The sequence below is a fragment of the Homo sapiens genome, chromosome 20 (assembly GCF_000001405.40).
Source record: "Homo sapiens chromosome 20, GRCh38.p14 Primary Assembly".
Lineage (NCBI taxonomy): Eukaryota > Metazoa > Chordata > Mammalia > Primates > Hominidae > Homo > Homo sapiens.
Window position 1 is genome coordinate 8,547,545 of NC_000020.11, and position 16,975 is coordinate 8,564,519.

General features: G+C 37.0%; 1 protein-coding gene across 2 annotated transcripts in view; it reads left to right on the forward strand.

The window, feature by feature from the left end:
• PLCB1 (phospholipase C beta 1) overlaps positions 1–16,975 on the forward strand; it is a 752,635-nt gene that overhangs the window by 415,279 nt on the left and 320,381 nt on the right. The gene's annotated exons all lie outside the window — the stretch shown is intronic.

Genomic DNA, 16,975 nt, shown 5'->3' on the forward strand with positions numbered 1-16,975 from the left:
ATATCTAACCCGTTCTATGTTCTGAAATAGTACTTCTGGATTCATTCTGTCCTGTTGTATTTTTGGATCCATCCATTTTTCTCTTTCTCAACTACCCCACTTGTCAGTCCACCTTGACATTCCACAGTGGCCTCCTCACTGTTCTCTCCATCCTTCATTCATGCTCCTCTCCAGTGTTTTCTCCACCTACATTGAGAGCAATGTTTCCAGATTAACTAGTATATCAAGTGAGTCCTAGGTTTAAAAACCTGCAATCACTTTCATTGCTTTTAGTATAAATATCAAAATCCTTATGCAGGACCTTGAAGGCTCTACATGCTCTAGCCCCACTCACTTCTACAGACCATTTGTTCTAAGTCTCCTCTTCTCTGGGAGGAAGAGATCCCCTCTACTGAGAATGCTTCTCTTCTCCCATCTCTTCCCTTAGTTATACTTTTCCTCCACCTTCATATCTCAAGTGCTAGTTCCTCAGAGAAGCCTTCCTCACCACCCACACACTCCTGGTCCAGGGACCTCCCTTCCTACCTTCCTCCCTCCCTTCCTCCCTTTCTTCCTCCCTTCCCTTCTTCCTTCCTTTTCTTTTTTTCCATTCTCTCCTTCTTTCTTTCTCTCTTTCTCTTTTTTTCCTTTCTCACCATTAGCTTTCTTTCTTCCCATTTTCTTTCCTTCCTTCCTTCCTTCCTTCCCTCCCTCCCCTCTTCCTCTTTTTCACCCTTCCTTCCTTCTTTCATTTTTTCTTTCTTTCTTTGTTTTTCTTTCGTCTTCCTTCCTTCCATCATTTTTTCTTTCTCTTTGTTTCTTTCTTTCTTTTGTCTCTCTCCTTCTTTCCTTCCTTCCTCCCTTCCCTTCCCTTCCCCTCCCTCCCCTTCTTTCTTTCCTTCCTTTTCTTCTTTCATCCTGTTTTCATTAATTTGTTCTTTCTTTCCATCATCTATCTTTCTATCCTTCCTTCCTTTCTTACTTCCTCCCTCCCTCCCTCTCTCTCTTTCTTTTCTTCTTTCTTTTTCTTCTATTATCTACTATCTATGTTTTTGTCTATTATCTATCCATCTATTCATCTATCTGTCTATCTCTATATGTATATATTCAATAGAACCAAATCTCTGTATTTCAGATCACTTATTTCTACTTATAATCTTATATTTATTCATATCTACAGTCTTAACTCTAGGCTGTAAGCTCCGTGAGAACAGTGGTTGTATTTGGTATTACTTAATTTTATGTTCCATGTTCTCAAGCCTAACTTTGTGTCTGACACAGGTGAGCTTTCAATAAATATTAGTAGAATAAGTTAAAGTGCTTTACTGAGCTCTGAATGTTGATCAAGAAGTAACCACTGCGAAATATTGGATGCCAAGAAAATAAGCTATTTAACATTTCCCAGCAAATGATTTTCAGTGAAGCAGTGAGGATGGGAAAGACACAATCCCTGAAGACTGAAAGAAATTTAAAAAGAAAATGGGAAGGCAAATGAAAAGCACATAAAACAAATACCTAATACATGCAGGGCTTAAAACCTAGATGATGGGTTGATAGGTGCAGCAAACCACCATGGCACATGTATACCTATGTAACAAGCCTGCATGTTCTGCACATGTATCCTAGAACTTAAAGTAAAATTTTAAAGAAGAATAACCAGAAAATAAATAAATAAATATATATTTTTTTAAAACCTGCTTTGTCAGGTACTGTTACAGTTGATATAGATGAAGTGAAATCTAAGAAGAATGTCTAGGCCCAAGATGCCTAGTGCTTGCTTTTAACTATTTTCATTTTTTAGCCAATTACTAATTAACAGAGGACTAGTTCAGGACTCATTGGAATGTCCAGGTGGCTAAGGGACTGCACAGTGTTTGCTTTTGATTACAAAAACAAGCCCTAGCTCATGCACTTCCTGATAAGTTTGGTTCTGTGTCCCCACCCAAATCTCACCTTGAATTGTAATGATCCCCATGTGTTGAGGGCAGGACCAGGTGGAGATAAATGAATCATGGGGGCAGTTTCCCTCATGTTGTTCTCGTGATAGCGAACGAATTCTCATGAGGTCTATGTTTTTGTTTTTGTTTTTTGAGACAGAGTCTCCCCTGTCACCCAGGCTGGAGTGCAGTGGTGCAATCTCGGCTCACTGCAACTTCTGCTTCCTGGGCTCAAGTGTAGCTGGGACTACAGGTGTGAATCACCAATGCCTGGCTAACTTTTGTATTTTTGTAGAGACAAGGTTTTGCCATGTTGCCCAGGCTGGTGTCAAACTCCTGAGCTCAAAGCAATCTGCCTGCATGGACCTCCCAAAGTGCTGAGATTACAGGCATGAGCCACCACACCCGCGGAGATCTGATGGTTTTATAAGGTGCATCCCCCTACCTTTGGCACTCATTCTTTCTCCTGCTGCCCTGTGAAGAGGTGACTTCTGCCATGATTGTAAGTTTCCTGAGGCCTTTGGCTGGATTTTGGACTTGCATGGGGCCTGTAGCCCCTTCATTTTGGCCAATTTCTCCCACTTGGAACAGGTATATTTACCCCATGCCTGTACCCCTATTGTATGTAGGAAGTAAGTAACTTGCTTTTGACTTTACAGGCTCATACGTGGAAGGGACTTGCCTTATTTCAGATGAGAGTTTGGACTTGGACTTTTGGGTTAATGCTGGAATGAGTTAAGACTTTGGGGGACTGTTGGAAGGGTATGATTGTGTTTTGAAATGTGAGGACATGAGATTTTGGAGGGGCCAGGGATAGAGTAATATGGTTTAGCTCTGTGTTCCCCCCACCCAAATCTCACCATGAATTGTAATAATCCCCATGTGTCAAGGACAGGACCAGGTGGATATAATTGAATCATAGGGGTGGCTTCCCCCGTGTTGTTCTCACGGTAGTGAGTGAGTTCTCATGAGATCTGATGGTCATATAAAGGGCTTCCCCCTTCCCTCGGCTCTCATTCTCTCTTCTGTCACCCTGTGAAGAGGTGCCTTCCACCATGATTGTAAGTTTCCTGAGGCCTCCCCAGCCATGCAGAACTGTCAGTCAATTAAGCCTCTTTTCTTTATAAATTGCCCGATCTCAGGTATTTCTTCATAGCAGCATAAGAATGGACTTACATACTTCCCCAAGACCTCTTCATTGCTGGGCCATCACAGTACCCTGAATATGTTCTTAAAATCAAACTTTAAACCAGTTAGTTGCTTTTAAGCTTTTTCTATGGTGTCTTGTGCACCTTACATCAAATTCACCATGTATAATGAATTAAAAAGTATAACTCCTAGCAACAACTCCTAAAGAGTTTGGAGACTTCTTCTGGTGGCATCTCTCTTGCTCTTGTACCCTCTCTCTCTTTTTCTCTATTCCTCTCCCCAAGTGTCTGAATAATAAAATTTCTATCAGGAGTGGATTAAAAGATACATCTATCAGTTCACCAATTTAGATTCTATAACAGGAATGACAGGCATTAAGACATTGTATCCAATAATGTCTGGGCTAACTTTTTTGTTGTCGTTCTCACATCCTTTCCACTGATTAACACAAATAATTGAATTAAGTATAATTTCATAAGACATGAATGACTGCATTTCATCATAAATCACTCATAAATTCTTTTGCTAAATTGTTGGTTTTCAATTTAGGATAACTGAAGGATAGGAATTTTACCTTCAGGTTAGCTATAACCAAAAATATGAGGAAAAAAAACATGATCTCTGCCAGAAGATCACTGGAAGAGATTTAGTGTGAGATCTTCCATGGAAAGATCAGAGCAATACAGACTGGCTCAAAGAGAGCACATAGCCTCAGACTTTTATTCTAATGTATAAGAAATGGTTTTTATGTACTTTGTGTTCATTGATACTTATTTTCTTTCTTGGCTTCAGCCAAAATATGAATGTACCCTCAGCTTTCCTTTTTCATGGCAATCATTGATTCTAAAGGCCTGGCACAGATATGTTCTTCGAAGGGTGTGACCTTTACCGTCCTGTGCGCATCAGCTATCTCCCCATCCCATACCTGCATCCCTTTACCAGAGGGCTTTCTCTGGTAGACTGTCCTTTTGCATGCTGGAGAGTGAGCTCTTCCAGAGGCAGCCCTCAAACCATGATCTATGGGAGCTGACAGATCCTCAGTTGTGTCATCCCTTAGGTGACAAACTGCACCATCCCTGGAGCATCTCATGGTGAAGTCCTGGTTCCCACAGTGGTAGCTTGCTCAACAGTGCAGCCCTTATTGGCTCTTTTCCATCCTCTTTCTTGCTTTCCCACTCTTCTACCCGTATTTTCTCTGATCACCTCCCAAATAAACTATTTCTCTAGAACTCTTGTCTCAGGCTTAAATTTTTTCTGCAAAAGGGAATGCCTTTGGATTTCTGTAAAAGGGTCTGCTTCAAGGAGAAATGCAACCTGAGAGAGAAGGTCATGGTTTTCACAAAAGGCTGTGGTTACAATGAGATTTGAGGCTTAAATCCAGGCTTGTGTAAGACTGTTATGTGTTACTAGTTGTTAAAATATTGAGTGCTTTTATGCTTGTTTGCAAATAGCTACTTCTCCCAACTCTGCAGTGGTCATGACCACTTCATGGTCATCCATTCCTTCCCATGATTCAACAACTAAAGTTTATTACTTGCCACAACAGGGGCTTCTAAGACCCTCATTAAATGCTATGGGCACCAACTGTTTGAATGATTGGTGTGCTTGCTATGTGAATTATTAAATATTTTAAATATTATTTATGTTTAATGTGGTGCCCACCAGACCCAGATGTAACGTACAGCTTTTCCTTGGACAGTATAGAGAAGACCTTGAAGTTATGTTCTTTTAACTCAGTCTTTAGTATTTCTCTGCATGAAATCCTTCAGCTCCATGTCCAGTTGCACCGTGGTAGATTTGCAGGGAAGTGGATGGATGAAAGAGACAGGAGAAGGAAGAGAGGACAGAACAATCAATACTTGATGATGAACTTCTGGGAAACTGCGAGCATTTCCATTTGAAACAAATAGAGTGTTTCTTATACAATAGCCATATGTATTTGTAAACAATAAAATGCCTGCTAGTGTACAATGGATTGCACTTCTCTGATATTATACTTATATTCTTGGCTCTGCTTTTTTTCTGGATTCAAAATATTCATAAGAAATGAAATATGGAACCAAAAGTCACACATACATACACACACAGATACATTTTATAGTAGATACTTGCTGCTTGGCCCAGATATGTTTTGTGGATTAAATTCTAGGCCCCATGCTGGATGCCAGACTCACTACCCATGTTTAGACCCCTAGACATCAGACATTTACTGCCTGGCCCTGTGCTCCCAGCTGCCCATCCAGGTGGTAAGTTTTATATCTCGAAAAGCTTTTTCAGGCTGATTTCATGGTGAATATGTGTTAATCACCTCAGGGAGTTATTGAGAATTTGGGATAAACTTGATTGGGTGAACAAGCAGCATGTGTCCAAATATAGCTATTCCTGAGCTGTATCTTTGATATATTTGATGATGCTTGAAAACAGTCCGATTTACATCCATCGCTGCATTATAAAGAACAGGGCTGAAGATTTATAAGTTGAATTTTGTTGCAAATGCCAAAGCATGGGCCACAGATAAATCAGTTACCAGAATAAGGGTGATTTTATAACCTGCATGTGTTTTATAGTTTCTCATGACACAATAATCATAAAATTCAAAAGGCACACTCTTGCAAGTGTGAAAAGGCAATTTCAGGGTTCCTTTTGGTTTCTGCTATTGCAAGGCAGGATATAGATACAGTTTCTCACTATTTAGATTTGCTATTGAAGTTTTAGTGGAGTGCCAAAGATTTCAGTCAGCAAGTGTCAGTAAATGATATCAACACAGCTCCAAGTTCAAGGTGGAATCGTTTCTTGAAATAAAGTGAGCATTTGGTGCCCAGAAATCTTGTTTTAAAATACACCAACTTCTCAGTTTTGGAAGAGCTCTTTATTTTTTAAAAATAGATTCTTATTATGTAAGCATACAACTTTTCTTGTATGTTCCTGTTGCTCGTATTTGTACACATACACAGTGAAAGTTATTTTTAAATCTTTTATTCTTATCTGTAACTGCTGACAGCATTTGAGGTGTGGAAACTTTTAAGACTGAAAAATCAAGTAAAGGAAAATTCAAGCAAATGAATACAGAAAAACATTATCATTAGGAGCCTTAATAAAACTGCTGTTTAGCTTGTCACGCTGGCACATTCCTGTAATCCTAGCACTTTGGGAGGCTGAGGCGGGTGGATCACTTGAAATCAGGGGTTCAAGACCATCCTAGCCAACGTGGTGAAACCCTGTCTCTACTAAAAATCAAAACAATTAGCTGGGCATGGTGGTACATGCCTGTAGTCCCAGCTACTTGGGAGGCTGAGGCAGAATAATCATTTGAACCTAGCAAGCAGAGGTTGCAGTGAGCCGAGATTGCACTACTGTTCTCCAGCCTGGGCAACAGAGCAAGACTCCATCTCAAAAACAACAGCAAAACTGCTGTTTAACTCCACAAAAGTCATTACACCACTATACATTCACTAAAATTGCTAAAATTAAGGAAAAAAAAAAAACAGTAGTAAGGCCAGGTGTTGGCAAGATTGTAGAATAGCTGAAACTCTCATACAGGGGTGATATAAAATGGTACAACTACTTTGGAAAACTCTCTGGCAGTTTCTAATAAAGTTAAATATGTACTTACCTCTCCTATGGCCTAACAATTCCATTCCTAGGTATTTACCCAAAAGAGATGAAACATATATCCATATAACAACTTGTAAAAGAATGCTTATAGCCCCTTTATTCATAAAAACCCCAAACTGGAAACAACCCAAATTTCCACCAACTGGTAAATGAATAAACACATTGCGGTATAATCACATAATGGAATACTACTCAGCTATAAATAAAAATGAATTGCTAATGCATTCAGTCTAGTGATGAATCTCAAAATTATAGTGTTTTTGAAGAGAGCTGAAGAGACACAAAATGGACCATACTCTACACTTCCATTTATATTAAGTTTAAAGACAAGGAAATATTCTGCAGTGATAGAAACCAGAATAGTAGCTGATTGTAGAGTACAAGAGGACTGATTGGAAAGGAGAACATTCCAGAGAGAGGAAGTGTATTATACCTTAGCCTGGATGATGATTGCATGGTCATATACACTTGCCAAATTGCATTGATCCATATGTTTATGATTTGCATTATTTGTATATAAATTATACCTCAATAAAATGCTGTTAACATAAAAAAATTGCCCAGCTTCTGAGTTCTTGCTTAATAATATTAGTATCACCTGTTGCTGTTCTACGTTAACTCAGGAGCTAAATTCAAATTCAGTGTATGACAAAATCTTATTTGTGTGAAATTACTGGGACGTGTACTTTTGCATTTAAGAAAATGCTCCAAAAAACTGAAGATTCTCCCTTCATGTTAGAAACTTAAAAATAAAATAAAATAAAATAAAGATTTTTTTGGGAGGAAGGGAATCTTAAGTTAAAATGTCACAAATCTCTCCTATCATGTTAGTCACTTTTTTCTTGACTTGGCATTTGCTTGGTTGCCTTAAGCCTTTGTCTATTTTTCAGAGTTCTGACAGAGTTGAGTTTGATAATTTTTGCTGGTTTTATCAGTGTTTTCGTGGAGAAATGGGCCCTTGGGGCTCCCTACTCTGCTGTTTTTGCTGACTTCACCACCAACCCTCATATTCTTAACTCTGTATCCTTAATAGGGTTGAATGGGTTTCAAAAGGCAAGGTAGGCAATGGATCATGATACTAAGTCAATGATAGGAGCTTTGAAGTGAAAGAGGTGTTTCTAACAAAAAGTAGATACACACTCTCCACCTACACTCCTCTTCCTCCATCATATCATACAATTCAGAAGCAAGAAGAAAACACAAACTCATAGACTGAGGCCATCCACCACTACCTGAAATGCTGCACCTCACTCAACATGGGATGGGGCTTCGATTGTTATGATTTAAGCACTTCTGAAAACACACTTTCTACTTCCTGTTTGGTCTTAAGTCTTCCCTGGAAAGGTCATCTATCTCCATGTATTTCCTATAAATATCTACCTCTCTTATTAAGTGTTACATTCAAATGTGACAAATTAAAATCAAGTGGAAATATTTTGTGTTAATGATAAGGTAAAGCCAACTGTGTATGTCAGAGTAGAATATGGCATGTGCTCTTATCATAAATATTACAGGAGCTATTTGTTTGTCAGGGCTTCATCAAAACATCTGAAAATTGCTTGACTTGGAGGAGAATAGACTATAATTTCCATGTCTGCCCCAAATAATCAGTCATTGACAACTTAGAAAATTCTTATCAATAAAGATGGAATCAATTTTTTCTATTCCACAAAATGTAAGCATATCATTTTGAGACAAATTTTAAAATCGTTTTAGACTTGACAAATTACATGAAAGAGACACTTAGTCAGAAATGATTTTTTTTAATGAAGTGAAATTTAATAAGTGACTCTGAATGTCTGTTGATGTGTTGGGAAGCCCATCTTTGCTTGACCAAAGATTTATCCAGTAATAATCAAAACATCTAAGTTAGTCTTAGAATTTATATATATTTCCCATCCTGGCTAACACCCTCCTCAGCATGGCAGCAGTAGGAAAGATGGCGGCCACATTCTCTCTATGGGTACCTGATTCTGGAAGGAGCAGAGCAGACCTTATTACCAAAGAATTGTGTTTGTCTGTTTTGACCTGAAGAGTCCCTAAAAGTACTTGCCTTCGTTTTACCTAACTTGGAACTCTCTTAGGGCAGAAAAGCAGCCATGTAGAGGACATTCCTCCAAAACATAGAAAGGTAAATGAACAAGCCTCTGCCACTTAGGGCAAAAGATGATAGTTGTTATAAACAATAGACAACCCTAAATACTGGAAGGAAAAGCTGGAGAATGAGTTACTTTAGAGAATAATTGCTTTGAAAAAGATTCCTTATAATAGAAAACCTAAAAAGTGATGCATATGCCCAGGATAGGACCTATGCTCAAAAGATTTGAGAAGACACTAAGCTTTCACCTTCAGCTTGAGATCTTAAGGCTTCACAACAGCAGGAAATGAAGGCTAAGGCAGAGTTGTAAACAGCCAGGCTAGGAGAGGGTTGGGTGTGTGTGTGTGTGTGTGTGTGTGTGTGTGTGTGTGTGTGTGTGTTTGCTCTAGGCATTTAGGGAAATCTGCCAAACCACTAGCTAACCACAAGCTAACAAAATAGAGACTTCAGAGTCCATACAACAAAATATATAGCCTTTAAAAATAGTCCGGAAAAATGAGCAAAGTGTTTGAATAGACATTTATCCAAAGAGATATTTAAATGGAAATAAACACATGAAAAGATGCATAACATCAGTAATCCCTCAGGAAATGTGAATCAAAACCACAATGAGATACCACTTGACACCATTTGGATAGCTATTATTGATAATAAATAAATAAAATAAATAAATAAATAAATAAATAAATAAAATAAATAAAAAAAATAATAAAAATGGAAATAAAACAAGTGTTGGTGAAGATGAGGGAAACTGTAACCCATGTATGTTCCTAGTGATGATAGGAAATGGTGCAGCCACTGTAGAAAATGGTATTGTATTTTTTCAAAAATAAACATAGAGTTACCATATAATTCAGCAAGTTCACTTCCGGGTATATATCTCAGACAATTAAAATCAGGGACTGAAACAGGCATTTGTACACTCATATTCATAGCAGCATTATTCACAATAGACAAAAGGTGAAAACAACCCAAATATCCATCAGTGGAGAAATAGATAAACAAAATGTGGTATATACTTACAATGGAATATGATTCAGCCTTCAAAAATAAAGAAATTCTGACACATGTTAGAACATGGATAAATCTTGAAGACATGCTAAGTGAAATATGCCAGAAACAAAAGGACAGATATTTGTATGATTCCACTCGTATGAGATAACTAGAGGAGTCAAATTTATAGAGGCAGAGTGGCAGTTGCCAGGGGATCATCAGAGAGAAGTATAAGTAGTTATTGTTTAGTGAGTACAGAGTTTCAGCTTTGGAAGATATTAAAAAGTTCTGAAGATGGATGGTGGTTGGTGATGATTGCACAACACAACATTTTGAATTTAGTTAATGTCACTCAACTGTACACAAAATGACTAAAACAGTAAAGTTGGGCTATCTATATTTTATCACAATAAAAAATAGTTTAGAAAAGTCACTAAAGAAAGAAACAACTCCAACCCACAGCAAGCAGCAAAAATAAACCCCAAGCAGTGGCAAGAATCTGGTTTCTGGAGTTACCACATAATAATATTCAAAATGTCTTGTTCTCAACAAAAAATTATGAGTCATGAGAAGAAACAAAAGAGTATCCCACTCACAGGAAAAAAATGAACAACTCTCCTTGAAAAAGCACAGATATTGGATCTACTAACTAAGACTTTAAATCAACTCTTACAAAACGGGTGATTACCAGAGCCTGGGAAGGATAATGGGTAGGGAGGTGGAGGGGGAAGTAGTGAGGCTTAATGAGTACAAAAACATAGGAAAAATGAATAAGATCTAGTATATGTTAGCACAAGAGGGTGATTATAGTCAAAAATAATTTAATTACACATTTTAAAATAGCTAAAAGCATATCATTGGATTGTTTGAAGCCAAAGGATAAATTATTGAGATGATAAATATCCCATTTACCTTGATGTGATTATTATGCATTGCATGCCTGTATCAAAATATCTCATATAATACATAAATATATACACCTACTATGTATCCACAAAATAAAGAATTAAATAAATAAATATAAATGAATCAACTGTTATATATACTCAAAAAGATAAATGAAACCATGGACAAAGAACTGAAGGATAAAAAAAGAATAAAGAAAAATGAACAGAACCCAAGAGACCTGTGAGACACCATCAAGCATAACAATGTAAGGGGAGTCTCAGGAAGTGAGGAGAGAGAAAAAAAGGCAGAAAGAATATTTGAAGACATAATGGTTGTAAAACTCTCAAAGTTGATAAAAGGCATAAATCTACACATTCAGGAAGCTTGATGAACTCCAGGTAGGATAAATACAAAGACAGCCACACTAAGAGAAATTGTAATCAAACTGTTGAAAGCTCTAGACAAAGAATCTTGAAATTAGCAAGAGAGTTGCAATTAATCACATACAAATGATCTTCAATGAAATTAATAACTGATTTCTTATCAGAAACAATGGAGGCAAGATAGCAATTGGTATATTTAAAATGCCAAAACAGGAGGAAAAAACAACCTGTCAACCAAGAATTGTATACCTGGCAAAATTAAGAAAAAAGTAAATTTAAGAAAAAAGTAAAATATTTCCAGATAAAAGCTGATAGAGTTTTTCACAAGTAGACCTGTCCTACAAGAAATGGTAAGGAGATGCCTTCAGGATGTAATGTCAGCAAACTCGATAGTAACTTAAAGGTGTACAAAAGAAATAAAACACACTACTAAAAGTAAATACATAGTCCTATAAAAAGGCCTATTTTATTGTATTATTGGCTTGTAACCCCTCTTTTTTCTCATATGATTTAAAAGACAGATATATCAAATGATGAATAAAAATCTATGTTAGTTTAGTTTACATACAATGTATAAAGATATAGTCTGTGACAAAAACAATTTAAAGAAAGAGATATGGAGAATATAAGAGCAAAGTAATTGTATACTCTTGAAGTTAAGTTGGTGTTAAATCAAGCCAGATTATAAGTTTAAGATGTTAGTTGTAATCCCCAGGATAACTACTAAAATATTAACTATAAAATATACAGAAAAAGAAATGAAAAGTATACTTCAAAAATCAAACACAAAAGAAGGCAGTAATGGGGGAATTGAGAAACAGGAAAGATAAGACATATAGAACACAAATAGTAAAAATGTCAAAAGTAAATCCTTTCTCACCCATAATTACTTTTAAATGTAAATGAGCTAAACTCTCCAATTAAAAACAGAGATTGTCAGATTAAAAAACAACAAGAAGATTCAAGTCTATGCTGTTTACAACACATTCACTTTAGCTCCAAAGATACAAACAGGTTGAAAGTGACGGAATGTAAAAAGAGATTTCATTCAAATTCTAAAAGAGAACTAGAATAGCTATACTAATATCAGTCAAAATAGACCTTAGGTCACACATGCTACAAGAGGCAGAGGACATTATGTATTGATAAATGGGGCAATTCATCAAGAATATAAAACAATTGAAAACATATATGCACCTAAGAGCTTAAGGTTTGATATAGAAAAGGGAATGAGCCTAGGTCGGTCTTGTACTAATTCAGTTTAATTTACCTCTCTGAGTTTCATTGTGTATAACTCTGCAAATCCTCTTTTTTTATAACATAGAAATTCCTTCCTACCTTTCTTTCTTCCTTCCTTCTTTTAGGAGGCAAGTTTTGAGTACCTACTTTTGACAAGCCCTGTGCTAAGTTCTGGAGATACACATCTCAGTAATTATAGCCCCTGTAATTGTAGACTTTATAGTCCAAGTCAGTAGCTTTCAAATTTTAGTTTATATGAGAATCCCCTGGGAGGCTGATAGAAAATACAAACTACTGAGCCTCACCCAATGTGTCTGATTCAGTAGGCCTGGAGTGAGGCCCTAAGACCTGCATTTCTAACAAACTTCCAGGAGATGCTCATGCTGCTGGTTTGTGGACCGAACTTTGAGAACTACCCGTCTAAGTCATGGATTCTCCATTTTGGCTGTACATTGACATCACCTGTGAGCTTTAAGAATACCAAGGCCTAGGTCTCATCTTCAGACTTAAATTGCTTGGGAGTTGCCTGGTCATCTGGATTTTTTTTAAGCTTCTCACATGTTTCTAATACAGAACTAAAGCTGAGAACCACTTCTCATTTCTGGCTGCTTATTACAACCACTTGGAAAGGTTTTAAAAAAAAATACTGATGTCTAGAAAGCATTATGGATTAATGCAATCAGAATCTCTGAGAATTGAGCCCCAGCACTAGTATTGTTGAAAAACGTCTAGTGTTGTTCAACTAATTTGAAAGTTTAACCAGAGCTGAACTCCATCTAAGCAAAGGTAACATACAATGAGTGAAGGAGAGAGGTAATTTTAAATGTCATCTTTTTTTGTTTGTCCTTTTAAATTATCAAGAAGCAGACAGGAACATAAATGGAAAACCAAGTCTCCCATAACCTACCACTATAGTATGTCTATTATAATCATACATTTTTCCTATCCAGTCTTTGACCATATGTGTGTATTTTTATATGGATCATATATGTGTAATTTGAGATTCTGCCAAAAAATTTCTTTAAGCCACAGAATAACCTTTTAAAAATAATAAGTAAAATGGGTGGCATTGTCGGATTTTCTCCATGTTCACTGAGGAAAGATAACAAGAATAAACTTGATCTCAGCAGGATAATTTAGGCTTGTAACTGGAAGGACCTTCCTAGTCAGCAGAATTAAACTGCTCAAGGAGAAAAAGTGGTGATAAACTAGGATATGGAACGAGGAATCAAAGTCCTATCTAGAAGCCAGATGATGGGAAAATGGCCACAGAGAGATGATCTGGGACTTGGCAGGGACTGTTCCAGGTAGAATGCTGAAGACCGTTAGTGGAGAGAATTTGTCTCTTCATCTGTATTTCACTTAGAATCTCCTGTGTGTGGTTCAACATTTTGTGGTGGTTTGTGGATACACTTTCTAGTCTAAAGGAATAGAACTAGATTAATATTTTCTATTGTAAAATTTAGTATCTTTAACTTAGAACATAATATAATTATGAACCGTATAACTAAGTTTTGCAACTCATGCAGGGGGATTATAGATAACCCTAGAGCACTCATTCTTTATCTGTTCTAAGATAGTCGGGATATGAGCAGTTGAAGACATTCCTCTTAGTTAATCCAAGTGGGTGCCAAGACCCATGCACTGGAGAGTTGAAACAAAATACAATGAGTCTGAAATTTCAAGCAGAAGTTCAAGCGTCTCTTTCTATTCTGTCTTGATACATTGCATTGAAAGAACTGCTATGGTTTAATTCTATCAGTGAAAATAACAGGGTTTGTGATGTTTTTAATTTATTTTTCCCTCCCCACATTAACTTTCCTCATTTGTGTTTGGTAAATTTGCTTCAACTGCTCAATTTGCATGAGGATTAAATTTCATTAACAGATGCAATTAGAAAGTGGAATTTATAGAATAAGTCTTCTTTATACCCTAACCTAATTGACATAAGGATTACCGATGTAATTGACTAGAAATCCTTTCAAGATAGTCAAGCTGACATTTAATAGTGTTTTTCTCTATAAAATTAAGAATGTTCACTACAATCTACATATAAGAACTAATAAGCCTATTCCCTCCACCCATCACCTAAAATTATAGAGCTAGGTCAATTTTATATTCTTGCAGCAAAAAACTCCCCTGGCATGAGGTTGAACAAAGTCTAGTTAAGCTTGCTATTTTTTTCCTTTTAGTAGACCCTCCCTTGAGTAAAAAAAGATAGAGAAGAGCAAACGGTCTTCGCTAAGTGAACTCATAGCTTAGCCAAAGTCTTTCAGAGCTGAGTACGGAGGGGCTGCCTCAGTGGGAAGCAGAAATTAAGACCTGCTCCTCCATACATCCTACTTGCATCTTTAGCCTCGTTTCTTTACAGCAGTTGTTTGCAACCTTGGCTGTACATTGAAATCACCTGGAGCACCTTAAAAATTGTAATGACAAGACCCCACTGTAGGATTCTAATATACTTGGGCTGAGATGCAGTCCACACTATGTGAGTGTGAAAAGCTGCTCAGCGGTCCTAATGTTTGGTCGTGGTTAAGAGCTGCTGCTTTACAGTAAGCAGTACTTTGCCTGTGGCCAGGTAAGGCAAAAATGTGCCTGGGGACTTTGGGAAAAAGAAGCAGGTTCTCTCAGTAAAAGCTGTGCTCCGGCAGAAAGCCGGTTAAGTGTTCCTTGCTGCCTATTTAAGAAGTAACAGTGCCAAGGCAATCCCATTTGCTCTGGCCATGTGATAATTAACAATTGATATTTGTGTGAAGCCAGCCTGCCTAACAGAATGGTGTGCAGTCTTTCAGCCAAACAGTACACTGGCGCTCCTCTGTGGACTTAAAATTGCATTCTAAAAAAGTAGATGGCATTTTTAATAAGCAAAACCCCAGTTTAAATATAACCAACTGAAATTATAAGTAATTTGGTAATATGACTTCATGTGGGGGTCATCTTAACATTAATAATACCTGAAATGAAATAATTTCTAAAATATTTCTAATCTCAAATTACTACCTTTGGTGATATTTTGGGTGATAGACTATTTTTACAAACTAGAAAAGATTCTAAATCAGGAAAAGTACATAACTGAGGTCTGGCTTTTTGAAGCACACACTCACTTTTTTTATGAAATACCTGTTTGCTGACCATGGTGTAGGCCATTAATGTCATTACCTCTACCACTTGAATAAAAGTGAATCCTTTTGTAGCTTATAGTGTGTAAACCTATGAGACTTATAGTATGTAGATGTATGATACTGACAGCCAAAACAGTATGCATATTATGATAAATCACTGGGTAATAAAGTAGCCAATTTGGAAAATTCTCAATTGGAGTAGTCCTTGTGTGTTGGCAAATAAGACTTGCATTTATACAGTGAACAAAAAAGTTTGCTTAAGAATTAGGAGCAAGTAATTGATTTTTTAAAAATGATGTGGTTCTGGTGGAAGTAGTATAGCCCTACCAAGTAGAAAAAAAGCAATCAATTTAATTAAAAAGTCTCAGCTGAAAAAAAATTTAGTTCCCATCTATAGACAGGGGCTCTGTCCTTAGATACAGCAGGAAGATTCAAGACCCCATCATCTCTCTCCTCCCACTTCTCAACCTCCTCTTGGTGTGTTTCATTGTCCAAACTCAAAAGGAAGCCAGGAGGTGAAGGCTGGCTGATGCGGTTCAGAGAAGTTTGTCTCCTGGACACAGTGCAATATGGAGAAGCTAGAAAGTAGGTCTGAAAACAGAGACAATTTGACTTTTTGCAGATGACATGATTGTATATTTAGAAAACTCTATTGTCTCAGCCCCAAATCTTCTTAAGCTGATAAGCAACTTCAGCATAGTCTCAGGATACAAAATCAATGTGCAAAAATCACAAGCATTCCTATACACCAATAATAGGCAAACAGAGAGCCAAATCATAGTGAACTCCCATTCATAATTGCTAAAAAGAGAATAAAATACCTAGGAATACAACTTACAAGGGATGTGAAGGACCCCTTCAAGGAGAACTACAAACCACTGCTCAAGGAAATAAGAGAGGACATAAACAAATGGAAAAACATCCCATGCTCATGGATAGGAAGAATCAATATTGTGAAAATGGCCATACTGCCCAAAGTAATTTTTAGATTCAATGCTATCCCCATCAAGCTACCATTGACTTTCTTCACAGAATTAGAAAAATTTACTTTAAATTTCATATGGAACCAAAAAAGAGCCCACGTAGCCAAGACAATCCTAAGCAAAAAGAACAAAGCTGGAGACATCACACTACCTGACTTCAAACTATACTACAAGGCTACAGTAACCAAACAGTGTGGTACTGGTACCAAAACAGATATATAGACCAATGGAACAGAACAGAGGCCTCAGAAATAACACCACACATCTACATCTTTGACAAACCTTACAAAAACAAGCAATAGGGAAAGGATTCCCTAGTTAATAAATGGTGTTGGGAAAACTGGCTAGCCATATGCAGAAAACTGAAACTGGATCCCTTCCTTACACCTTATACAAATTTAACTCAAGATGGATTAAAGACTTAAATGTAAGCTCTAAAACCATAAAAACCCTAGAAGAAAACCTAGGCAATACCATTCAGGACATAGGCATGGGCAAAGACTTCATGGCTAAAACACCAAAAGCAATGGCAATAGAAGCCAAAATTGACAAATGGGACCTAATTAAACTAAAGACCTTCTGCACAGCA